The sequence below is a fragment of the Homo sapiens genome, chromosome 4 (assembly GCF_000001405.40).
Source record: "Homo sapiens chromosome 4, GRCh38.p14 Primary Assembly".
In the NCBI taxonomy this organism is placed as follows: domain Eukaryota; kingdom Metazoa; phylum Chordata; class Mammalia; order Primates; family Hominidae; genus Homo; species Homo sapiens.
Window position 1 is genome coordinate 7,861,395 of NC_000004.12, and position 27,298 is coordinate 7,888,692.

A 27,298-nucleotide genomic window follows, 5' to 3' on the forward strand; every position below is an offset into this window, starting at 1 on the left:
AAAATGGTTTCAATCCTAACACTAAGAATTCTGAGTACATACTCTTCTTGGCAAAATGCAAGTCTTTATCCAAATTACACCCCATTCCATTGTGATCACTGTTAAGTCTGCATTCCACACAGCGCTTGAGTAAACACTGGGAAGATTGTCTCACATATTTTCTTAAAGTTTCTCTCCTTTTACTTATGCATGACAAAGAATGAAAGCCCTGTGGGGACATGTCATCTCCCCTCCCTTTTCCATCAGCAGGCAGGCATCCAGATGGAAGGCGAGGCAGCCCACCAGGGGCGGAAACAGGATAGAGTGGAATCCAGCCATAAAGCGAATTGAAAACAAAGATGCCACTGGGATTATACATGAGCCAAAACTCTGAGATTCCTCAAAGATGATGAAAAAGGCAAACAAGATGGCTCACATCCACCAAAGGGTCACATCTTACGCCACAGGAAAATGAATGATTTTCTTGTTTTAAATCGTGGGCTTTAGCCCCAGCTCTACAACTGGTAAAAGAGCCAACGTTGTCACATAATCTCAAAGAGCCTCGTAATGTCATCTGTGAAACAGAGATAACAAGGTTACTGTGAAGGTACCTGAGAAAGGGCGAAATGCATCGATGGGAAGATGGTAACGCCTGGTATCAAAACTTCACTGTTTCAGGCCGAGTGTGGTGGCTCACATCTGTAGTCCCCGCTACTCAGGAGGGTGAGGTGGGAGAATCACTTAAGCCCAGGAGTTCAAGACTAGCCTGGGAAACATGGAAAAACCCCGTCTCCACAAAAAATACAAAAATTAGCCAGGTGTGATGGTGTACATCTGTAGTCCCAGCTACTCGGGAGGCTGAGGTAAGAGGATCACTTGAGCCTGGGAGGTCAAGGCTGCAGTGAGCTGTGATCATGCCACTGCACTCCAGCCTAAGCAACAGAATGAGACTCTGTCTCAAAAAAACAAACAAAAAACTTCACGATTTCCTAGAGACAGTGGATGCCAGGGGCAGGAGTTGGGGGCGGGGGGGGGGGGGGGCGCCGGCGGCGGGAGAATGGGAAGTTAGTGTTTAAGGGGGACAGAGTTTCCATTTGGGATAAAGTATGGAGCTGGATGGTGGTGATGGCTCCACAATACTACGAATGTACTTCATGATACTTAACTGTCATTTTAAGTGTATTGAACCGTACACTAAAAATGGTTAAAATGGTAAATTTTATGTTACGGATATTTTACCACAATAAAAGGAAACTTGGCTATAATCTGCTGGCATAAAAAGGCATCACATTTACATAAGTTCTGGCCCTAAAATACCAGCGAATTAAGTTGCTCCCTCTGCTATCCCTTGAAACATGATATAACCTCAGGCTGTCTACCAAATGAAAATATGTCCAGAAAATGCCTTGATCTAGAGTTGTATGTACTGCATGACAGCCCCAAAAGGAGTCTAGCTTGCCCTTTTTTCTCCTGAGCCATGAAGATCTGAGATACCCCTATGTTTAGACACAATGCTATGCTGAAGAAGGGTGGGGGAGCAGCACAAACGGCGCTTATCCATTTAGACCCCTTTAGCAAGCCGGCTGCTTGCGAGCTGGGCAGTGGGTCACGGCAGCCAGCGTCAGCACAGATGGGATCCATTTCCCAGGACCTGGGGCTCGCCTTCTCAAACACTCTTTTAGCACTTGCTGCAAACGAAATGCAATCAGTCTGATAGCTGCACAGGTCGCCCTTGAAACAAAGAGAACAATCTTTTGAAAAGCCAGGCGCGGTGGCTCACGCCTATAATCCTAACAGTTTAGGAGGCCGGGGTGTGTGGACTGCCTGAGCCCAGGAGTTTGAAAGCAGCCTGGGCAACATGGTGAAAACCCTGTCTCTATTAAAAAGACAAAAAAATTAGCCAGACATGATGGTGCGTGCCTGTAGTCTCAGCTACTTGGGAGGGTGAGGTGGGAAAATTGCATGAACCAGGGAAGCGGAGGCTGCAGTGAGCCCAGATCGTGCCACTGCACTCCAGCCTGGGCGACAAAGCGAGACTGCCAAGAAAGAACGAAAGAACGAAAGAAAGAAAGAAGGAAAGAAAATAAAAGCACAGCTCTTTCCACAGTTTTTTGAATAGATGCATATTTTAGCCTATCCGAGTCTCCCCTTGAAAAGCCAGGGAGATAAAGCAGAGTGTGAAACATGCTACATCCCACACGTGTGACTTCAAAAATTCAGAAGTTCAAGATTTCCACACTACACACACATCTACTCTCCTGCAAGCACTTCCAAAGACACATTAGCCAGGTGGAAAGACGCACCATGTCACACAGGGCATCTCAGGCTTTATTAACTATTGAATAAAGGTATGAAGCACTATTAGACACTAAAAAGGATAAAAAAGTAAAAGACAACCTTATTTGTTAAAGAGTTTATAATACAAAACACTATAACAAAAGGCAATATTCAATTCATGCCACAAAAGAGGTAAAAATAAAGTGCGGTTGTGCTTCAACGCATGGGAAATAGAACCTAGCTGAAGTAAATTGTACACTAAAAGAGCCCTTCAATGGCTTACTGTTGCTTTCACAACCCATTCCCAACTTCCCATCACAACCCATTCCCAACTTCCCATCACAACACCTTCCCAACTTCCCATCACAACCCATTCCCAACTTCCCATCACAACCCATTCCCAACTTCCCATCACAACCCATTCCCAACTTCCCATCACAACCCATTCCCAACTTCCCATCACAACCCATTCCCAACTTCCCATCACAACACATTCCCAACTTCTCATCACAACCCACAGGTCCTTTGTAATTTAACCCCTGCAGACAATTCTGGCCTCATGTGTGGATTTCCTGCCCAAATCCCATGACCCAGCAAGGCAGAGCTACCTGCAACGCTCCTAGTATAGCTGGCTGTTTTTCTGGCTTTTGCTTTAATTTACAGCACACCCTCTGCCTGGCACAGCTGCCTACCAGTCCCGTCCTGACCCCACAATAAGCAAATTCTCTTGAAAGTCAATTCATCAATAGCGAAACGGCCAACTAGCCCAAAGCCAATTCATTAAGGCAAACTTAATGTACTTAGTGACTAGCTGACTTGCTGAATCCCAAATTCACTAAAAAACTATCAGAAAACTACAGTCCAGCTAGCTTAACCAAAGCTCTACCTCCTTGACTCATGGAGTTGACAGCTGTTCTCTATTCCCTCTGTAAAATACCCTGAAATCCCTAAAAGGCTAAACATTCAGGGCAACAGGCTCCTCCCTGGGGTGCCCACAAAAACTGTCCCACCTGTTGAGTTGTGTATTTACCAAGAGTCAGCTTTGTTCTTTAAATTCTTATTACCATAATTATTTACTTTAATTTGACCATTACATAATAAACCAATGAAAAAAATGAGTGCCAAAGCCGAGTTGATGATTCTCTGAGATGCTTTAGAAAGGTTCAGTCAAAACAAACTAGGCAGGGCACAGTGGCTCATGCCTGTAATTCCAGCAGTTTGGGAGGCCTAGGCAGGAGGATTGCTTGAGCACAGGAGTTCAAGGCTGCAGTGAGCTATGATCGTGCCACTGCACTCCAGCCTGGGCAACAAAGTAAGGACCTGACTCTTAAACAAACAAAAGTACCTTAAAAAGCTATACAATTAGATGTGGGGACATCAACTATTAAAAAAAAAGACAGGGCAACATTCATAAAATTCTAGGAATTCTAAACTCAGATTGTGTTACAAAAACTGGAAATTACAAAGTAATCATATGTATAGATTACACAGAAAAGACAAACAGAACCCCATAGGTAGCAACACACCAAAGAATGTGGCCCTCGGTCCTACATCAAAACACAGTGATTTTTATAGCAATTAAGCATGGCTTAGGTGTCCAGGGAAAAATTACCTTGATACTCATGCATTAAGCACCAGGAGGGAGAAATTACCCACTGGCAAACTGTCACTCAAAAAGGATTCATTTAGGCTGGGTATGGTAGCTCACGCCTGTAATTCCAACACTTAAATCATTCACTTAAATTTAACATATTTAAAGCACATGTAATGTATACCTTTTTAAAATTTTCTCACCTTAACCAACATTTTTGATTGACCAGTTCTGACTATGCCAGTAGAAGGGCCTCATAAATACCTTAACCCAGACTAGTTTGCCATAACCATTTTCCTACCAAAGGCAGGAGCAGATCATAGGCCAGGGAAAGCAAGAGACAAGGAGAGAGGACGAGAGAGGGAGAAAGAGGATGAATAAGTAATAAACTATACTGGAAGAAGACAACACAGAAGTGAATCAATCATTCGATGGTTGAAAATGGTAGAAAATGCTGACTAGTCATGAGAACTCTTCATCTGAAACTGGCATCCCTCTGCTACACCCAGCTGGCACGTGAGGGACATGCAGTTTGGTCCAAAGCAGGTGGGAGGGCACTGCAGCAGCACTAGAGAAGAGTCCATGACAGTCACAGGACCACTGCTACTCTTCCAGCTGCTTCTTTTGTTTTGGTTTGGTTCTGTGGTCTTGTTTTGTTTTGTTTTATTTTTTGAGACGGAGTCTCGGTCTTGTTACGCAGGCTGGAGTGCAGTGGCTCGATCTCAGCTCACTGCAACCTCCGCCTCCTGGGTTCAAGCGATTCTCCTGCCTCAGCCTCCCAAGTAGCTGGGACTACGGGCACCCAACACCATGCCCAGCCAATTTTTTATTTTTAGTAGAGACGGGGGTTTCACCATGGTGGCCAGGCTGGTCTCAAACTCCTGACCTCAGGTGATCCACCCACCTCGGCCTCCCAAAGTGCTGGGATTACAAGTGTGAGCCACTGCGCCCAGCAGGTTTTTTGTTTTTTTTTGAGACAGAGTCTCGCTCTGTCACCCAGGCTGTAGTGCAGTGGCGCAATCTTGGCTTATGGCAACCTCTGCGTCCCGGGCTCAAGTGATCCTCCCACCTCAGCCTCCCAAGTAGCTGGACTACAGCTGCACACCACCACACCCGGCTAATTTTTGTATTTCCTCTACAGATGGGGTTTCGCTATGTTGCCCAGGCTAGTCTTGAACTCCTGAGCTCAGGCGATCCACCCGCCTCAGCCTCCCAAAGTGCTGGGATGACAGGCGTGAGCCACCGCACCTGGCCCCAGCTGCTTCTAACTGTTCTCAGTTCCCGCTCCATCTCAGAACATCTTTCCCAATATGAAATGTGATGAAATATAAGACCCATCACAGGGGAGCCAGAGATTCCAGACAATCTTACAAAGAAAAAATGAAAATAAGCCAGAAGAGGAAGCCAGAAAATGGAAGAACTGCTGATTTCCCATCTAGCTCTTCATCTTTTAAAATAACAATGCTATATTTCTGGACTTTAATATCACATTATATCTAAAAACAGCAAATGAGGCCAGGTGGGGTGGGTCACACCTGTAATCCTAGCATTTTGGGGGACCAAGGCAGGAGGATCACTGAAGGCCTGGAGTGCAAGACAGCAACACAGTGAGACCCTTTCTCTATTAAAAAAAAAAAAAATTAAACATTTGGCTGGGCATGGTGGCTCACACCTGCAATCCCAGCTACTTGGGAGGCTGAGGAGAGAGGATTGCTTGAGTCCAAGATGTTGAGGCTGTAGTGAGCTATGAATGTGCCAATGCACTCCAGCCTGGGTGACAGAGCAAGACCCTGTGGAGGAAAGAGGAAAGATGAAAGAGGGGAGGGGAGGAGAAGGGAGGGGAGGAGAGGGGAGGAGAGGGGAGTAGAGGGGAGGGGAGGGTAGGGGAGCGGAGGGGAGGGGAGGGGAGGGAACAGAGAAGGGCAGCATCAAAGCCCCCATCCACACCTAGTGAACCAGAATCTGCACTTTCAGATGGCCGGGTGGTTGGCTGAAGGCTAAAGTTTGAGAAGCGCTGCTCTGAGGAGGGATTAGAGTGCAGGACTTAAATATATCCTAAGCACTTGAGATATATTTGCTCTTTCCATCTCCTGGATAATCCTGAGGCACAGAGGTTACATTAATCTCCCCAAATCATATGAGGAGCCTGAGGCAGCGCGGGGGCGGGAAGCAGGCGGCCTTCCTCCTGAACTGCCCCTGCAGCCTACAGCCACCCTGGACTCCACTTCGGTGGACAGGCTCAATGCTAACAGTCTTCTCCTGTCTGAGGCATGCTTGCATCTGATTTGCTGCCACACCTCTGAACTAGTATTGTTGAGAAAAGTGTGAATTTGAAATAAATGTTGCAATCTCTGCCCCCTCTACTTATTTTATGATGTTGAGCAAACCACACACCTTCACTGAGCCTCAGCTTCCTTCTCTGAAAAATGGGTGTACGTACACTTCCCCTGATAAGAAGCGTTAGGGGTTCTTTGAGGCCAAGTTGTGGGAGTTAATGAGTTGTAATTTATGGTGCTGTGTGCCAGGAACCCAGTAAGTGCTTGTTTCCCTCTGTGCCCACTGCAGTGAGAAGCCCTGAGTCCCTCCAAGACTCTTGAGCACTGTGGCAGGCCCAGGCAGAGCGGGGGTGATCAAGAAACGGCCCTGCCTTCCCACCGTTCGTATCCTGGCAGAGAGATCATCAGATGATTCACACTGAAAGCAAACACAGAAAGAGAATTGCTACTGATTTTGCCCTAACTTTGAATGACACTCTGAATTCCTCGAGTAAACAAGTTAGAAAACAGCCAAATATAGAAAAAGCTGAATGGTACATAAAAGTTTGCAAATGAGGGAATCGCCAGATTAAAAAAAAAAAAACAACAAATTTGAATTTGAATGCATAAAACTAAAGTATACATTCCCGAAATATGTACATATTTTTCTCTCTTGGAAACAATATGGATAGTTAACCCCAGAAGAAGTCTAACAATGACTATTAAAGTTTCACAATAAGGTATTCAACTTCAGAATTAACTCAGAAGAGAGTCAAGTCCACAAGGTCTACAGATACTTTTGTCTGCTAAATCCCCTAATTTTTGTTTTTCTTAATCTGACGTAAGAAAAGATGTCTGTGGCCCTGTAGCTCCTGCTATAGGTAATTTATGGTGGTGTGAGGCAGTGCAAAGAAATGCTAGCTTCCTAAGGGGAGGCTACACCTAGAGTCTACCAACTAGCTATCACTCACAGCTTCTCAGCCCTAGAAATATACTCAAAGGAGTGCCTCGAGACAAATAAGGGCTCCATTCTTCCACACCGGGCTTCCATCACAGGCCCCTGGAGCCCGTAAGTACCCCCAGGCCTCCAGCGATGACCACTGAGATGGTGGGACCTTGACTCACCAGCCAGGGCTGAGGGATCTCCGGCAGGGGCATCTGAGGAGGGGCTGGCAGGCTGTTAGCGGTCTCCTGCTTCTGAGCATGGTCCTTCACATCAAAACCTGTAAGAATTAACCAGAACCACAGAACTGGATGAGGATGGGGATGAGAAGGGTACCACTAGCATCTATCAGTTCCTGAACCCTGTGTTGAACACTTTGCAAATATTTATTTTCTCTAATCCTTTACAACAGTCCTGCAAGGTTAGGTATTATTCTTCTCCATTTTACAGGTGAAGAACCGACAGCTTAAATAAAGTGAAAGAAAAGAAAAGAGAAAGAGAAAGAGAAAGGGAAAGGGAAAGAAAAGAGAAAAGAAAAAAGAAAAAAGAAAAGAAAAGAGAAAGAGAAAGGGAAAGGGAAAGGGAAAGAAAAAAGAAAGAAAAGAAAAGAGAAAGAGAAAGGGAAAGAGAAAAGAAAAAAGAAAAGAGAAAGAAAAAGAGAAAGGGAAAGGGAAACGGAAAGAAAAGAGAAAAAAGAATAAAAGAGAAAGGGAAAGGGAAAGGGAAAAGAAAAGAAAAGAGAAAAGAAAAGAGGAAGGAAGGAAGGGAGGGATGGATGGAGGGAAGGAGGAAGGGGAAGGAGGAAGGGGAAGGGGTGTAAGAAATGAATGAAAGCACTCATAGATGGAAATGGCGGCACTAGTGCCAGAGCCTGCATGCTCCTCAGTGCCGTGCTGCACCTCAAAGGGAAAGCTGCTCCCCCTCAACTTCTACTCAGGGCAGGCAGGACTTACCCATGTAGTAATAGGACAGACACCTTCCTGGGAATCAATAAATTTTTATTAAGTATCTTCTTAAAGTCAGATACTGTAATAGACATACTGTATGGAAGACATGACTGATACAAGCTCACATGTCTTGGGCACTCAGATTTAAGTTGGAAAGACAAACAGATACACAACAAACTACTAGGAAAGGTGATGAACACGATACCAGTGCAGGCAGGAAAGAGGAAGAAACAAGTTTTAATTTGGGCACAGTACTATTTGTATGCCTAACACTCATTTGGAAAGGCCTGTAAAAATACTGACTTAACAACGATCACCTATAATGGGTCCAGTACTACACTAGAGGCCAGGCATTGAAACATGAAAAGCCCCAGTGCCTGACCTCCAGGAGCTGCAATGGAGAAAAGAACTTCGTTAGAGAACTGCAAACAAACAAAAGCAAGAAAGGAAAAGGATAAATGACACACACACACACACAAAATCAATAGATAGGTTTAAAGCAAATTAAAGAGCTGAAGAAAGAATTCATGAATTGAAAAATATCAGGAGATTCATCCAGAAGGAGGCATGAAGAGACCAGTGCTGGAGCTCACTGGGCGGAGGGAAAAGACAGGAAATCAGGGGAAAGCAAGTGGTCATCAATACCTGACGTGTTTACTATGCATCAGGCACTGTTTTGAAATATTTTATACCGTCTCATTCAATCCTCACAACATCCCATGAGGTCAATACTACCATTAGCCCTTTTTATACACGGAGGAAACTGAAGTATAAAAAGCTTAAGTAACCCGTGAAAGGTTGCATGTTTGGTAACAGGTAGGGCCAGAATCAAAAAGGCAGTTTAACTTTGAAGTTCATACTCATAACCACCTATGATAAAGGGCCTTGTGGGATGGCCGAAGGAGTCTGGATTGTGACCAGAGGCAAAGGCTGACAGATCCAAGAGTCTGAGCAGGGAAGTAACAAAATTACTTCAGAAGTGAACATTTCAGGCCAGGCGCAATGGTTCATGCCTATAATGTCAGCACTTTTGGAGGCCGAGGCAGGCAGACTGCTTGAGCCTAGGAGTTTGAGACCAGCGTGGACAACATGGCAAAACCCTGTCTCTACAAAAATAACCTAGCTGGGTGTTGTGGTGTGCACAAATGTAGTCCCAGCTACTAGGGAGGCTGCAGTGGGAGGATCACCTGAGCCTGGGAGGTTAATACTGCAGTGAGCAGTGATCACACCACTGCACTCCAGCCTGTGTGACACAGTGAGACCCTGTCTCAAAGAAAAAAAAAAGTTAATATTTCATATTACCCCAGAATAGGGTCCCTATCCTGCTTTCTTATCTAAGTGGCAGGCCCCATCGCCCACCCAGGTTTCCCCAAGCCACCCACGTTCAAACTGCCACCAAATCCTTCAGCCCATCTTCCAGACTGGCCAGGTGAGCTTTCCAGAATGCAAATCTAATCGTGTCATACATGGCTTCATATACTAAAAGAATTCATGTAAAAGTATAAATGAACTGTACACTTTAAATGGTGAAGTGTATGGCCTGTGAATCACATCTCAATAAAGAGGTTTAAAAGAAAAATCCTCCATCTCATCCGGCAGACTATCTCCATAGAGTCCTCAAGATTCTCACATCCCATCATCCAGGAACTGCCCCTCGGACCTTCCACCACCCCGGTCTCTCACTCAACTGGTGTGGACTTGCTTCTCAGGTGCTCTCATAAGGCTCTGATGCTCTCCACAGCAGCACTTAGCAGGCTTTCTTATTGCCTGCTTTTTATTGTCCTGCTCACTGTGCATCAAAGAGTTAATGTAGCAGGCCCAAAGCTGCTCTCTCTAGAGGGGCCTGCTGGCAAGGCTGGCCCTGGCTGGCCTCTGGGAACGTGGATTTCAGAAGTGATCCCACCATTCCCTGATGGACAAGGGTGGTTCACTGTGCCTGTACTGTTTGTGTAAACAACACAGTTGTGCTGAAACCCTGCCTGTCCTGGAATTCTGGTGTGTGATAGGCAGAGGGTGCCTAGAGGACCGGACCCAAGTAAAAACCCTGGACACCGAGTCTCTGATGAGCCTGAATGGAAATGTCGCACAGAGCTTGCTGCGTTTTTATTGCTGAGGACAGCGTGTGCTCTGTGTGACCCTCGTGGGAGGGACAGAGCACACAGACGCTGGCATATGGGTTCCTCCATGTTCCGCCTACATCTTCTCCCTTCCGATCTGCCAGTCGGACTGTGCATCCTCACTACGGCTGCAGTGCGTCCTGCACACGAGGAAGAACAACCTGATGCCAAGTCCCGTGAGTCCTTCCAGGTAATCTCCAAACGCTGGGGTTGCCCTGAGGACTCCCAAAACACGATTCCATTAGCTCCTTCAAAGCTTTATCTTTCTACACCTGGAGGCTAACACAGAACTTGGCACAAGTGTAAACCCTCAATGAAAACTTGATGAATAAATAAGCTTGTAAGTTAAAGAACAAATAAATATATTTTAGAAAGGTGGTAAAATTAAAGACGATTTAGAAGCCAAGACACTGTAAGAAGGAAAAGCAGGCGTCAGAATGAGACTCACCTTTGGATGACTGTATTCTTAGCAGAATGTTGGTTATCACTGCCTTTTTCTCCCTGACAGTTGAGGTTAGATATTCATGGTCCAGGAGTTCAAGAAAGAGACGAAGTTCAACTATTAACTCTTCCATTGCTGACAACAAAAGAGGAAGAGTATTATTAGACCCAGTGATTTGCAAATGTCAAAGTATGAATACTGAGTCTTACTCGAAGCATTTCATGTTTAGCTTGATCATTGGATATAGTATTCTGACCTAAAAAACAAGTTTGCTGAAAGCAGGTCCACTAAAAGATTCAGGCGTCTTCTTCTTAACAAATGCACTACTCCTTTGCTTCTGCTTTAAGGCAGCAAAATTCAACTGGGAGAAGCTCCAAAGCCAGGCTGCCAACAGATGGTGTGACAACCCAAAGGCCTGACGTCATCATTTGGTGTCAATTCCACGATATTAAATTTCAATGTCAAGAAGGAGATGGGAGTTTAAAATGCCAAAGAGTTTTCTAATAACCAGTAGGGCATGGTTTCAGAAACTCAACACCCAGCTCTCTGCTTTTGCAAAGCTGGCTCCAGCCCAGGACAACTGTGAGCATGTTTATGCAGTTAGCACAAAGGAGGCCAGATGCCGAGGCTGGTGTAAATACAAGTTCAGGTGCTGAATTCCCACCATGCCTTTTCCTTCTAGAATGATGGTAGACTTGACTTTTCCTCTGATATCCACAAGACTGGAATGCTGGCTTAGGTCAGCAGTTTGTAGATGATGATCTTAGCCTCTGGGGATGTGAACTCCTCCTTTCAGGGAGCCCACAAGGCCCGAGGCCCAAACTATTTTCAGAATGCTAAGACATTATTCACCTTTTTCTGCATTAATGGTGTAAATGCCAAGGTAAAACTGCTAGCATCTTAGCACGAATCAAGGAAGTGACACCAAACTATCCTAGCGGTCATGATATCCTTCACCATATACTCACAGGTTTTTTTTCCTTTTTTTTTTTTTAAAAAAAAAAAAAAAAAAAAACTACTTGGGCTGGGCGCGGTGGCTCACGTCTGTAATCCCAGCACTTTGGGAGACCCAGGCAGGCGGATCACCTAAGGTCAGAAGTTCGAGACCAGCCTGGCCAACATGGCCATCTCTATTAAAAATACAAAAAGTAGCCGGGCGTGGTGGCATGTGCCTGTAATCCCAGCTACTGAGGAGGCTGGGGCACAAGAATCGCTTGAACCTGGGAGGCGGAGGTTTCAGTGAGCCAAGATTGCACCACTGCACTCCAGCCTGGGCGACAGTGGGAGACTCTGTCTCAAAAAAAAAAAAAAAAAAACCCCACTTTCACTTAGGAGTGTCTTTGAGAAAGCAGTAAAAAATAATGGCTTTTCTTAAATCTAACCTTTGAAGACACACCTTTTTTTTTTTTTTTTTTTTTTTTTTGAGACGGAGTCTCACTGTCGCCCAGGCTGGAGTGCAGTGGCACGATCTGGGCTCACTGAAAGCTCCGCCTCCTGGGTTCATGCCATTCTCCTGCCTCAGCCTCCTGAGTAGCTGGGACTACAGGCGCCCGCCACCACGCCCAGCTAATTTTTTGTATTTTTAGTAGAGACGGGGTTTCACCGTGTTAGCCAGGATAGTCTCGATCTCCTGACCTCGTGATCCACCCATCTGGGCCTCCCAAAGCACTGGGATTACAGACGTGAGCCACCACACCCGACCAACACACACCTTTTTAACGTATCATTGAATGACATGGGAAGCACGCATGAAGCCCTCCTGCACACGAAATACCACAGTCGTCTAGAGAAAAATCACTCTTGTGAGTGTTTGAGTTCCAAGCCACCCGAAGCCACTTGTTGCACACAGCACTATCTTTACTGGAGAGAGTGAATGACAGGCAAACTGCAATGACTTAGACTTGAGTACCTGGCAGACATGTTCTCAAGAATGAACACATGAGCTCATCACTTCAAGGTAAACAACTGATACCATTTGTGGCCAAGAACAAAAGTTGAGCTTCCAAGTGAAAAAATAATTTTTGAAACTTTGTATCCACCCCATAAGAGCTTACTGCCTCCTAATACTGGAGGCTTTTCTACTGAGATCAGCAGTGACATGAACAAATGTGATTTATATTGCCTAATGTCATATGTTGACATTTATTTGGAAGATCTGCACAACTCAGTGAACCATGATGTAACAAAGTCATGTATGGGTAAAAGATCCACCTAAAGAGCAAAATAAACTAAACTATTCTAATGTAACAGAGGATGGCACAGCTTCAGATGCCACATCACAACTAACAGTTAGGAAACCGCCACTTGTCAAGTTTTGGTGTAGTATCAAAGAAGAATGTCTACAATTTTCTGAAAAGGCTACTGAAAAACTTCCCAACTACCTATCTGTGGGAGGTCAGATTGCCTTTTTCTTTTTTTTTTTTTTTTTTTTTTTTTGAGACAGAGTCTTCCTTTGTCACCCAGGCTGGAGTGCAGTGGTGCAATCTCGGCTCACTGCAAGTTCTGCCTCCTGGGCTCACGCCATTCTCCTGCCTCAGCCTCCTGAGCAGCTGGGACTACAGGCACCTACCACCATGCCCAGCTAATTTTTTTTTTTTTTTTTTTTTTTTTTTTTTTTTTAGTAGAAACAGGGTTTCACCATGTTAGCCGGGATGGTCTCGATCTCCTGACCTCATGATCTGCCCACCTCGGCCTCCCAAAGTGCTGGGATTACAGGCATGAGCCACCACACCCAGCCTAGATTTTCTTCACATACTTCCACCATAATATCTCACACAGTCTGAGTGAAGAAGTAAATATGAGAATCAGCTATCTTCTAGGCCAGATACAAAAGATACTTGCAAAAGTCTAAAACAATGCTACTCTTCTAATTATCATGTTTTGGTAAATGCAGTTACTTTTCATAAATATATATTATTTATGTTAACATAATAGGTTTATTGATATTTTAATGAATAAATATCTTCAAATTTGCCAATTTTAATTCTAATATGGTAAGTACCTACAGATATAATCATATAAATAAAGCTCTTTAAGGTCTTCAAAATATATTTTGAGACCAAAAAGTTTCAGATCTGAGATCTGCTGATGTAGGCAATTACTTTAAGATCTTCATTCATTTATTCGTCACTTACCTATTGTCAGTCATATAGGTCATGCAGCTCAACTGACAAAAGCATAATGAAAATGATTCATGCAAAAAGCCTAAGCAAAAAAGTTTGAGAGCTGCTCGTCTGTGGGATTCTTCCAAATCTACTATTCTGTAAGTCTACAACATCCTTCGGGATTAAAGATCCATACTGAGGCTGCCGTGCACCATCAAGGCTCTCATCATTTTAGGTAAGCGGGAGAGAAATGGTAAATGAGCTTAAGTAGGTGGATGTGGCACCAGCAGTTCACTCTTTCCAGCTGGGCGATTTTCCCTTCTATGAAATGAAGAAGTTGGACTAAGTACACCTTTCAATTAAGGTCTTTTTCATTAATCAATTTCTTGATTCTAAGCAATCTCATCTATACTTTAAAAATGGACGAGGCATGTTGGCTCACGTCTGTAATCCCAGCACTTTGAGAGGCTGAGGCAGAAGGATCACTTGAGCCCAGGAGTTCGAGGCTGCAGTGAGCCATGACTGAGTCAATGCACTCCAGCCTGGGTAACAGAGTGAGACCCTGACTCTCAAAAAAAAAATGGAGGTGGGGGGCGGGACGGGGGGCTGATAGCATTATTCAGAATGTCAAAAGATAGAAAATGAATGACAAATGAATGGATAAATGAAATGTGGTATATACATACAATGAAATATAATTCATCCATTAAAAAGAAAAAAATTCAGATAAATGCTGCAACATGAACAAACCTTGAAAACATTATGTTAAAATAGACAAAAAGAGGCAAATATTACGAGTCTACTTATATAAAGTACTTAGAGTAGTCAAATTCATAGAGGCAGAAAGTAGAACAGTGGTTACTAGGGGCTAGTGGTGGGGAGAATGTAGGGTTATTATTTAATGGGGTTCAGAGTTAACAGTTTGGGATGATGAAAATGTTCTGGAAATGGATGGTGAATATACCTAATGACACTAAATTTTATACTCAAAAAGGGTTAAAAAGGTAAAATGTATGCTATGCATATTTAATTTAAAAAAGGAAAGAGAATTTGCTTGGGTTCCACCTAACAGCATGGAACTATCTGAAGAGAACCTAAGGATGCATCGATCCTAACTTGCCACCTAAAACCTGAGCTCCCTCTACAGTGCGACCATGAGGCCGCTGTGCAAAACCCTCCAGAGCCTGGGAGTTTGTCGTGGCCCTGGCCAAGGTATCTGCCCATCCTCTCCTCTGAGAACAGCAGCCTCAACCACAAGGGGGACTTTCAGCAGCCACTGCTATACTGCAAGGTCCTGCACACTGCCTCCCACTACTAGGTTATGGTTAATTGGACGGCCGGATTCCAAGACAGTCAATCAGATCTTCCATTCCTCTATCTTTTGCCTGAAGACTAAGAAACAGGATTCGGTTGGGATGGTCTCTTGAACTGAAAATATAGAAATGCAGCAACCAGGGCAAGTGCAAGTACACGGGTGCAAAGGACAGAAGCCAGCACTGGAGGACGAACACACAGAGGTGACACCCTCAGAAGCTGGCACACTCAGAGGCAGGCAGCCCCGCAAGAGAGGAAGTGTCTCAGACGCCGACCATGCTCCGAGGCTTTCCCGGGCCTGTTGTTAGCTACTCGGAAAACTGGGCTGCACTTGAATTCCAAGAAATATTTGTATCATTCTAATAAATTTTCATTTCATTGTATTGTTGTTAAGCTAATCTGTGTGGTTTTCTGTTCACCTGAAACTGTAACCAAAAGATTCTCAAAACACAGCTCTCTAGCGCCTCAGAAAGCGAAATACTCCCATAGCAGACAGTTGTAATTGTTAGAAAAGCTCCTCCTTTTTGGGATATTCACAGACTAAATAAACCATATTTTCTACTTGACAGTCTTTCCAAATACTTAATACTCATCCCCTCTTTCTTCCAGCCTTCCAGCCTTCTCTAATTAAACACCCCAGTTGGCTCCCCCTCACTGAAGTCTTCCCTAATTACCAAAATCCATTCCTCCTGTAGCAGCTGTACTGATGACTGGATACTTAGTGATCTTAAGGTTTACTTGGGTTTTTGTGGGGTTTTTTTCCCTCAAGGTAGCTAGTCAACTGGTTAAAGGCAGGTGTCATCCTATGTTTATCTCCTAACACCTGACAGCAGCCTAGCAGTACATTCTGCACAGAAAGCATGCAAAGGTTTTCAAATGAGTGACTTCCACAGGAAGAGAATGACCATTTTCTCACAACGGGTCCTGTGAAAGGCACTGTGCTGGCATCTACATAAAATAGCTCATTTGATTCTCACAAGAATGCAGCGAAGACGCACTGCGCCCCATCTACAGCAGAGGAATAAGAACTCCTGTGTCAGCTTTTAGTCTGCTTTTCTTTAAGCAAATCCTCACATAGTGATTACAAGTGCCAGGCACTGTTCTAAGCCTGTTACATATATGAACTCATGTGCTCTTCACAACATTGCTAGGAGGCACGTACTGTTATTATCCCCGTGTTGTAGGTGAGGAAACAGACACAGAAAGGCTGCCTACGGTCACCAAGCCTCTCCAGTTGATAATCTGCTCACAGTCATATAGCTAGAACATAAATAACACAGTAAGAATCTGAACTCAAACCTGAGTCCAAAAGCCCTGCTTTGAACATTTCATAATAATAATTCCACAGACTGTTTTCAGAGATAACCCTAGTCTGATGAGACGTTATACCCATTTTGTATTTAAAAAGAGCAATAGTGTGACCAAATAAAATTTAGTCCTCGAAAAAAATTAGGAAAATGAACAAGAAATGTCAACATAGACTACAGAGTAACCTTAGAGGTAGCACAATTCTTCGTTGAGCTGCCTGGCTCCCCCATATCGCCAGTTCCCAGGACGCAGGTGCAGCTCCTGGTGCATCTCTGTATCTCTGCTGGTGCCTGACTACGTTCAACATAAACCAAGTGCTCAGAACACACACATGGAAGCAGTGAGCACAAACACACATGGCTGGTGGGCATGGCGTACCAAAATCTCACTACGGCGCCAAAGCAAGAAGGGAAGAAGTTCTTGCAACCAATTCTCCATTTTAAACTTTTAATACAAACATGTCTTTCCCCTTAAGATCTAAGGGTAATAACCAACACACACTCTGGAGATTTTCCTATAAATAAAGGTCTGGTGAAATATGTGTGCCTGAGCAGGGGGTGGCATCGTACTACTCTGGTCTGTGGACACGCAGCAGGTGTAGGACACCCACGTCTCCTCTCCACCCTCCAGAGCTATTGCTGTTTCTTACCAGCTGTGCAGCAGGCTCTCTGGAAGATCCAGGAGTCCAGGCATTCGGATCCAGTTTCCACTGATGTATTCCGAGAGTGGCCTTCCCCTTATACCACCTCAGACTTATCTTCACCATCCACCTTTCCACTGCCCGACACAGGCTCTATCCTTCTATCAGGAGGAGGAGCTGCTTCTCCAAGGTCAAGAACAACAGGTGCCCTTGTTTTCCTCCAGGGCCTCCAGCCAAATCTCCCTTTACAATACAGGCTCTCCTATTTTCCCCTAGAAAGTACCGTGGTCTCTGAAGCTCCTTACCGATGTTTAATAGAAATCTCCAGCTACCGTTAAGTACTGACCATGTACCAGGCAATAGGCTAAGTGCTTTACAGACATCTTAACTAATCTTCATAATAACCTTTCAAGATAGACACTGTTTTCACCATTTTTACAAGTGGAGAAACTGGTACTAAGAAAGGTTACGTTTTTGCCTAAGGTCACACAGTTAAAAATAAGAGCCAGAATGGGAATCAGAACCAGCTGTCACTACTTTTTATACCGTAACACTGACTCTCTAAATTTTGCTCCCGGTGGAAGAAGCTCCTAATGCCTCTTAGGTTACATCCCTCATAGGTTACGTTCAAATAACCTATCTCCCACCACACAGGACAGGCTAGCTACACAAGTTATATCCCTCAAGGTCATTACTCAAATTGTGTTTGACATGTTTATTTTACTAATAGTTCTTACACTAAAAAATGAAATCTTTGAATTGGAAGAACAGCTGTAGATAGTTCACCCAACTTCCTCAATGTACTGAGGAGAAACTGAGGCTCAGGGAACTGGAAAGACTGAAGCAAGGGCCCAGCCCACTCACCTCTCCCGTCTGCACAGCCCAAAGACTGGCCAGAGGGTTCTGCACACAGGACAATAACCAGTCACATTCCAATATCCAAAATAACTGTCTGCATTTTATCTCATCTGAGCCTCACAATCTAATCATCATTGAGATATTACAGACGGTAGGAATCAAATGAACAGAGGTGATGTGGCTGCCCCAAGGCAGCAAGCTAACAAGAGCCATATCTACACGTGAACCACCTCCTCTGTTCGACACCCCAGCCCCGACACCTGCTGCCCTGTTCTGGACAGAATGGCGAGGTCACCAAACACAGACTGGCATCAAGGACACAGGAATAAATCACTGAATTCCAGAAGAAAAAATCTTCCCCAAACACCGACACCAAACAAAAGATCTGACCACGGAATTTAGCATTCCCAAAGTGACGGCAAAATTACCTGGAGGCGTTTCTGCATATATTTTATACATTAGAAAAGCAAAACTCCCTTCTTCCTAGCAAAAGGCCTCTTTGGACTAATTAATTATCTCTGCTTGCTTGCTTTTTTTTTTTTTTTTTTGTGAGACAGGGTCTCTCTCTGTTGCCCAGGCTGGAGTGCAGTGATGCGATCACATATCACACCTCACACTCCCAAACAGCTGGGACTGCAGGCACGCACCACGACGCCCAACTAATTTTTTAAATTTTTTGAAGAGACAGGGTCTCACTATTTGCCAGACTGGTCTTGAACTCCTGGGCTAAATTGATCGGCCTGCCTCGGCCTCCCAAAGTGCTGGGATTCCAGACATGCGCCCCGCCGCCCAGCCTTTCTGCTTTCTTTCACTCAAGTGGTATATCCCACAGCCCTAAAGAAGCAAGGGAAATAAGAATTAGAACTAGACATCCCAGGAGACAAAGAATTCAACAAAGCAAACACACTTCCTGCTTAACCAATCCCTTCACTATTTACAGAAAATCTCTCTGGCTCAGGCCGGGCAGTGAGTTCATTTATTTCAACAAAATCAAAGAAATGACTTATGGTTTGTGGGAACCAAAACTACTTTAAAGGCATTTTCTTTATTTACCTTCATGACTCAATCATGGATTTGAAAGCTAGGAGGGACCCTGGAACCCAAATGCCTTTTTTTTTTTTTTTTTTTGAGACGGAGTCTCACTCTGTCACCCAGGCTGGAGTACAGTGGCATAATCTTGGCTCACTGCAATCTCTGCCTTCTGGGTTCAAGCAATTCTCCTGCCTCAGCCTCCTGAGTAGCTGGTATTATAGGCACCCACCACCACACCCGGCTAATTTTTGTATTTTTAGTAGAGACGGGGTTTCACCATGTTGGTCAGGCTGGTCTGGAACCCCTGACCTGATGATCCACCCACCTAGGCCTCCCAAAGTGCTGGGATTACAGGCGTGAGCCACCGCACCCGGCCCAAATGCCTTTATTTCACAAGTGTGGTAACTGAGGCCCAGAGAAGAAAGGCGGCCTGGAGTCACAAAGCATTGGTAAAGGGGTGAGAGCCGGGAACGGGGTGACCAGACCGCCAGTCAAAGCGTTCCTTGCTGTGCACGGAACTGTCTTCCTCACACAGGAACTCCAAGACTGAGGAGGCTAAAGCATTGTCTGTCTCCGCTCTCCTACAAACCTGAGAAAGAAATGTCTACTGTTACTGGCTCTGAGAAAACACTATGAACTACCCATCACTTCCTGCTGCATCTGAGAAACACGGGGAAAGTTGCCACGGGCGACAGGCTCTGCAGAGGCTGCCACATCCATATTCCCCACAGGCTTCACACTTTACTGATGTGCAAAACACCTATTGCTATTTGCATCCTGAATTACACTCAAGGGCCTTGCTACAACCAACACAGTTGCTGGTGGCCTTTTGATTTCCTTTCTATTTTTATCTGTGATCCTTCCCATATGGTTCTTCCCTTCAAATTTCTAACCCGCTATAGAAACTCCCAGGACCTAGACCCAGGCAACTCCCCATTATCTAATCTAAATTGGGGGGTGGGAACAGTATGTGCATTTTCCCAATTTTCCTGCTCCCTCTGTACGTCCCCGCTCCCCTGTCTAGTCTACACCACTCATCCCCCAGCATTCCAACCTGCTGGCCCTCATGGGGTGACCCTCTGATAGCACCCGCCACTTGAGTCAAGGCTACCTCTCCTGCCAGGCACCCCCACATGGCATCACCTCCCTGACCTCTCCTCACCCCTCTGAATTCTGCCAATGCCAATGAGCACAGCTCACATCCCACCTCTTGGTGAAGCCGTCCCTGATCATTCTATCCCTGCCAATGCCACTCATTTGGCCCTCATCCTCCACTGCTCCTTAGAAACCCGGACTCTGGGCCAGGCGCGGTGGCTCCCACCTGTAATCCCAACACTTTGGGAGGCCAAGGTGGGCAGATCACCTGAGGTCAGGAGTTCGAGATTAGCCTGGCTAAGATGGCGAAACTCCATCTCTACTAAAAATACAAAAATTAGCCGGGCATGGTGGCACACGCCTGTAGTCCCAGCTACTCAGGAGACCAAGGCAGGAGAATCACTTGAATCCGGGTGGTGGATTGCAGTGTGCCAAGATCACGCCACTGCACTTCAGCCTGGGCGACAGAGTGAGACTCCATCTCAAAAAAAAAAAAGAAAAAGTAAAAGAAACCTGGACTCTGTCACCACATAAACCTGGATCCACATCCCAGCTGATTCTTCCTAGTTGTGTGACCTTGGGTAAGTAGCCCCCCCAAATTATCTCATCCTTAAAGCGAGATGGATATTATATATCTCAGCATCATCATGAGGATTAAATGAGCTAACACACATGCACAGCCAAGCATTTCATCAGTGGTAACTACAACCGTCATTATTAGCACATGTTCATCTTGTTGGAACTTCACTTTAAGACACGGGATCCATGAATGCAGTCAATGAACACGACCCCATACCTCCTGTCCTCTAAAACTATGAAGTCCTAAAGTAAGTACCACACCCTCCACAAGAAAAGTCATGACACACTCCTCTGTGCAACTCTATGCAGATACGCTTGAAACTAGGTTAAATAGATAATTCATTTCATAAGAAATTTCGTAAGAAAAAAATAATTTACCAGAATTACCCTCACAAAAAAACAAAAAACAAAAAAACACCAGACCCAGGTAGTTTTACAGGGGAATTCTACCAAACCTTAAACACCAAGGCTACTGCATAAATTGTTCCAGAGGATAAAATACACAGAACATAACCAAATTCTTTTTTTTTTTTTGAAGCAAATATAAATGTGATATCTAAACCGAATAGAGATAGCACAAAAAAGAAAACCAAAGACCACTTTTCCTTACATCAGTGCAAATATCCTAAATAAAATTTTAGCAAACAGAAGCCTACACATTACTACCATGCCCTTACCAAATGAGATTCACTCTAGAAATGCAGGGTGGGTGCGGTGGCTCACACCTGTCATCTCAGCACTTTGGAAGGCCGAGGCAGGCAGAGCACAAGGTCAGGAGATCAAGACCATCCTGGCCAACATGGCGAAACCCTGTCTCTACTAAAAATACAAAAATTAGCAGGGCGTGGTGGCACGTGCTTGTAATCCCAGCTACTCAGGAGGCTGAGGCAGGAGAATCGCTTGAACCTGGGAGGCGGAGGCTGCAGTGAGCCGAGATAGAGCCACTGCACTCCAGCCTGGTGACAGAGCAAGACTCCATCTCAAAAAGAAATGCAAAGGTGATTCAATATTAGAAAATCTACTAATAGGCCAGGCACAGTGACTCACACCTGTAATCCCAGCACTCTGGGAGGCCTAGTCAGGCAGATTGCTTGAGCCAGCGAGTTTGAGACCAGCCCAGACAACATGGTAAAACCCCATCTCTATAAAAAATACAAAAATTAGCCAGATGTGATGGCACACACCTGTAGTCTCAGCTACTTAGGAGGCTGAGGCAGGAGGATCACCTGAGCCCAGGGAGGTTGAGGTTACGGTGAGCCATAAGCGCATCACTGCACTCCAGCCTGGGCAACAGAGTGAAACCCTATCTCAAAAAAAAAAAAAAAAAAAAAAGAGGAGGAGGAGGAAAGACAGAAAGAAAATCTACTGATATATTCACCATATTATTATCTAATGAGAAGATAATGCAATTGTTCCACAGATCATGAAAAAGCCTTCAACAAAATTTAATAATCATTCCTGATATTTTTAAGTCAATACACTTGGAATTGATAGGCACTTAACTTGATAAAATACATGTACTAAGATTAAAACACCCACACCCAAAAAAACAGCATCTTATTTAATGAGGAAACACTTCAAGAATTCCCAGTAGGGTCAGAAACAAGTCAAAGAGGCCCATTTCCCCCACTACTTTTTAACACTGTAGGAGAAGTGTTAGTCAAAGCAATAAGAAAAGAGAAAACAATCAGAAACTTAAAAAAAATTATTTCTATTGGCAGCTGATGTGAAAGTAAACCTGGTAAAGCAGGAGACGTGAAAACTGTAGCTTTCTGCATGCTTATTTTATATCAAACAATAAATAGCTAGAAGATATCATGGAATATCAGCACCCATTTATAAAACAATAAAAAAGTAAACTACTTTAAATAATTTAGCAAGAAATGCGCAAAACTTACATAGGGAAAACTTAAAACTTGATTGAAAGATGAAGAAGTAAATGTGAACAAATGGAAAGATGTCCCCTTGCCTTTGGATAGGACAACTTAACATCAAAAAGATGTCAATTCTCCCCAAGTTAACAAATATATTTCGAGCAATAGCAATAATACACTGAAATCATTTGGATGTCCCCTCCAAATCTCATGTTGAGATGTAATCCCCAGTGTTGGGGATGGGGCCTGGCTGGTGGGAGGTGTTGGGTCACGGGGGTGGATCCCTCATGGCTTGGTGCTGTCCTTGCAATAGTGAGTGAGTCCCACTCAGGAAAAGTGGTTGTTTAAGTGTGGGGCAACTCCCCCACTCCCTCTCTTGCTCCTGCTCTGTCATGTGAGACACCTGCTCCCCCCTTCACCTTCCACCATGACTGGAAACTTCCTGAGGCCTTCCCAAAAGCGGAGCAAATGTCGGCACCATGCTTGTAAAGCCTGCAGAACTATGAGCCAATTAAATCTCTTTTCTTTAGAAATTACCCAAGTTCAGGTATTTCTTTATAGCAATGCAAGATAGGCCTAACCCGTATATCAACAAATTTTGTTTTGTTTTGTTTCTGGAACTAAACAAATTGATTCTAAATTTCATATGGAAAAAATAAGAATGCAGAGATGTCTAAGAACAATGAAGAGAGAATAGCCAGCCCTGCCAACTATTTAAAAATAATAAAGGCTCATCATTAAAACCATTTGATACTAACATATTTAAATTCCCAGTCGGATCCATAGAACAGAATAAAAAGTCCAGTAATAGACCCAAATACACACAGAAATATAAGAAAAATTGTCACCTTAATAACTGGGGTTGGGACAACTGGTAACTATTTGGGAAAAAGAAAAGATGAAACTCCTTACCTTACGTACACCAGAAAAACTCTAAAGATACTTGAAAACCCAAACAGAAAAAAATGAAACAACTCAAGTTCTAGAAGAAACAGATGAATTCTTTTATAACCTGGGTGTGGAAAAAGATTTTCTAATTCTGACTCAAAATCAGACGTAAAAAGAAAAGACTGATCAATGTGCCTACAAAAAGTATGAGCTCCTGGAGAATGACAAACATGGATTACGGACTCCTATCCCCTGCCCTGCCTAGCAGTGAACTCATACACACGGTGCATTCCCTAAACTTCTTGGCCCACCACACCTCTGTGCTTTATGCTGACTCTCTGCAGAGGAGAGGCTGGGTCAATGGTTACACCTTTCTTTGACAAAGGCAGGACGCTGGAGAACTGTTTCACAAAAGCTCATCTCATCGCTCTCTAGATTTCAGGCTCCAATTAAGAAACAGTTCCCAAACCATGACCAACCTGCTTTTCAGAAAAATCACCCTGGTTTGCTACACTCTTCTCAGTGACTTCTCCGGATCCTGTATAAAAATCTTAATTAACCTGGACTGTGCTTATTTTCTAGATTGTCTCTTTCCACTCTGCTTATGTGTCACACTTCAGGCCTTCTCAATCCCTCAGTTTCCCACAAATATCACGCCTGCTTCTGCCCCAGGCCTCTGCACGTGCCACTGCTCTCTGCCCGGTATGCTTAACCCTGTGTGTCCCTGCGTCGTCCCACACACACATCACTACCACACCTTCCTTCACCTGGCTGTCTCACTGAGGTGCTACACTTCAAGACTCAGCTGCGTCTCCCCCGCCTCAGGCCGACCATCACCGCCTCTCTCCCGCTATGCTGTAATAACAGGCTAATTTGTCTGTCTCCTCCACTAGCCAGTAGACAGTTGGAAGACAGGGACCACTGTGTGACTTCTCTCTTTGCCCAGAATGTCAAGCACGATGCCTGATGTGGAAACAAGAACATGACACTCAGTATATGTTTGTTGAATTAATTCACTTTTATGTTTCCAGTTCTCCATAATAGACAACATTCCTGAGATCTGCTTCAAAGAGAAAATTGCAGAGAAAGATGCCATGGCTTGTCCTCTCATACTTAGTAACCATGTCTTTTGTGATAGTCTCAGAACATACAAAAATTCGTGGTGAAAGACTAATTCTGATGAATTCCTTTTCTCGAGCAAGTTGATCACCACCTGTTCAGGGTCCTCTCTGTGTGAGAATACTCGGTGTTCCAAAGGGTATCAGAACTCGAGTGGCACTGAAGCAAAGGAGCTGTGTTCGAGCATGGTCCTTGCATATTTTCCCTTATAGGGTTACAGCTCAGACTCTCCATGCAGACTCTTCCAATTATTTCCACAGGCCTCCGCAGATCATCCAAATGCGCTGCTTAAAGGTAGATCTAAGAAATCTCAGAAAAAGCAGCATAGCTTTAGGCACTGTCTGGTTGGAAAGCTTCCCTCAGCTGGACTGCATCTAAAATTCTTTTTGATGACCATTATTTGAACGACTGGATGATTTTGAATACAAGTCATTAAACTTCTTTGATTCCCAGTTCCGTAATGTATAATGTGGGGATAATAACAGTTATGTGCCTACCAAGGCTGCAATGAACGTCTAAGGACTGCTGTAAATAAAAACCTCTGGCTTTGGGGACACTCAATTTACAGTAGTTTAATTTGCACCTAAAAAGGGAAAGCAAATCAAATCTATTTATAGCTCTCCAGTGTCTCAACAGAACCTATGACAATCGCTGTGCAGTTTCAACTCTGAAAGTGGGATCTTTAAAAGATTTCTCAATATCCCAAAGGAAAGCCTGTGTTTATAAAAGGGATCTGTGCATGTGTGTATATTCTAGGTCCTGGGAATGTTCCTTTCTGAATTCTAAGGAGCCAGCAAGGAGTCTTCAAAGGAACTGGTGTAAACTCCACAGAACACTTTACTTCGGGAAATTAGCCTGACCCTTAAAAGTCAGATTAATTAATGGATGGACATACAAGCCCTGATGGAAAATATCCTTCTATTGTTCTGTAGAAGGCAAAAAACAGGACCTAGATCTGGGTATGTTTTTTGCTTATCATAATAATATACAGAACGTGATAATGGGTTACAGAAGCCAGACCTCCTGATGCCTAGGCTGGGAGAAGGTTATTGACATAAACCAGGCTGGTTGCTAACAAAAGCTTTAAATATGATATCGAAAGCACAGTGTTTCCCTTCCATTTACAGAAGGTCAATTTAGTTCAGTAACAAGTTATTAAACACTATGTTCACAACACTGAACTCAGAATTTAAAGACAAGTGAGATGTTACCCCTGACATCCAAGGGCTCACAACCTAGAACAGCAGACACATACCTGGACTCACAGAACCCTTATTCTAGGAAAGGAAGAATCACAAAAGGTTTCTAGAAAAAATGGCATTGATGGATCTCCACTTTTGTAAAGACCCTTCCAGAGGCAGCTTTAAAGATGAACTGGTGGAGTGGGAGACTGGAGTAGGAAGGGGCACACCAGTCAAGAGAGGGCAAAGAATGATAGGAACAGGAGAATGGAAAGAGGAAATGCAAATTTACACTCTATTTATTGTCACATATTTTGAACATTCACTAAAAACAAGAACAATTAAGTCACTGCAAAATATTTGGGTATCTAAGTGTGGGGTACCCAATAATAAGCAAAGCAAACGTGATCCCAAGTTAGAGACAAGCAGTACGCAAATAAATATAAACACACAGAAATGACGATGGGTGTTACAGGAAAATGCATCTAACCAACAATTTTATGTCAAATTTTCAAAATCTCTGATTTTCTACTCTGACAAATCAATTAAGCTAAAATAAATCAAAGTTGGAACAAAGCCACCAATATAATGTTAAAAAGTATTCAAATGTAAAACCAATTGAGCCAAAAATAGCATAATGATGTAACCATTTGGAATGAGCATTTATGAGGCTTTAAATCATTTTTATATTACTATTTTAAGGATCAGCACTGCCAGCACTGCAAACTTAAACTCAGAATATTCACGTACGCATATACTCTTACTGGGCAACACATGGTTTCAGTATTTTCTTAGACACAAAGGAGGAATTTGTCTTTCTTCTGGCTTAGTACGATTATGCTATTATAGTTTTTTAAATTGTCATACTATTTGTTTTTATTTCATAAAGAACAATTTTTTTTTTTTTGAGATGGAGTCTCGCTCCATTGCCCAGGCTAGAGTGCAGTGGCACAATCTCAGCTCACCATAACCTCTGTCTCACAGGTTCAAGCGATACTCCTGCCTCAGCCTCCCAAGTAGCTGGGATTACAGGCACGCGCCACCACGCCCGGCTAAGTTTTGTATTTTTGGTAGTGACATGGTTTCACCATGTTGGCCAGGCTGGTCTTTCATTCCTGGCCTCAAGTTATCTGCCCACCTCGGCCTCACAAAGTGCTGGGATTACAGGCGTGAGCCACCACGCCCAGCCCCATAAAGAACAATTATTAATTTCAGGAATGCTTTGTTTCAACACAAAAACTTGGATTTTCAAAAATGAAATTGTGACATTTTAGAAAAACAAGTTATTTAATCTACAGAAAGGACATTATGATTCACCTAAACGCACCAAAACACAAAGTGTCTTAACTGCTCTTCCTTCCCCAGCAACTCTCCTCACCCCTTCTGTTATAAATACACTTCCACCTGCTCTGAATGTGTGGCTAGGAGGCTACCCACCAATAAATTCTGAACTCCTCCTATTACAAGGATCAGTAAGGAGAGAGGGGACATGGGTCACACAGGTACAGACATTAATATGACCATAAGGAAATATTATGAATAGCTTTATGCCCACAAATTCAAAAACATGGATGAAATGGGCAAATTCCTTAAAAGATGCAAACTTTCAGAAACGGAAAAGAATAAACAGACTATCTGAACAGCTCTATATTAAAGAAAACTCCAGCCCCAGGCAGCTTCACTAGTGAATTCTAGCAAATATTTCAGGAGAGGTAATACAATTTTCTACAAACTCTTGCAGAAAATTAAAGGGAA

At 43.8% G+C, this 27,298-nt stretch overlaps 1 protein-coding gene across 9 annotated transcripts in view, besides 1 other annotated feature; it reads right to left on the minus strand.

Annotated features, from left to right (window-relative positions):
- AFAP1 (actin filament associated protein 1) overlaps positions 1-27,298 on the minus strand; it is a 181,149-nt gene that overhangs the window by 102,682 nt on the left and 51,169 nt on the right. For 7 of the 9 annotated variants that reach the window (NM_001371091.1, XM_006713909.4, XM_047416061.1 and 4 more), the window contains 2 exons: positions 10,558-10,686; positions 7,228-7,325 (listed from right to left, as the gene is read on the minus strand). In NM_001371091.1, the coding sequence (NP_001358020.1) occupies positions 7,228-7,325; positions 10,558-10,684 (225 nt within the window). In that variant the 5' untranslated portion in view covers positions 10,685-10,686. Of the gene's footprint in view, positions 1-7,227; positions 7,326-10,557; positions 10,915-27,298 lie in introns of those variants that run through there. The other 2 variants (XM_011513544.4, NM_001371090.1) reach the window with 2 other exon arrangements.
- Positions 20,952-21,453: an enhancer, noted in NCBI's record as "H3K4me1 hESC enhancer chr4:7884073-7884574 (GRCh37/hg19 assembly coordinates)". NCBI's record gives its function as "activates a minimal SCP1, AML or CMV promoter by ChIP-STARR-seq in primed H9 embryonic stem cells {active_cell/tissue: H9 hESC(primed)}" and the evidence as "EXISTENCE:reporter gene assay evidence [ECO:0000049][PMID:30033119]".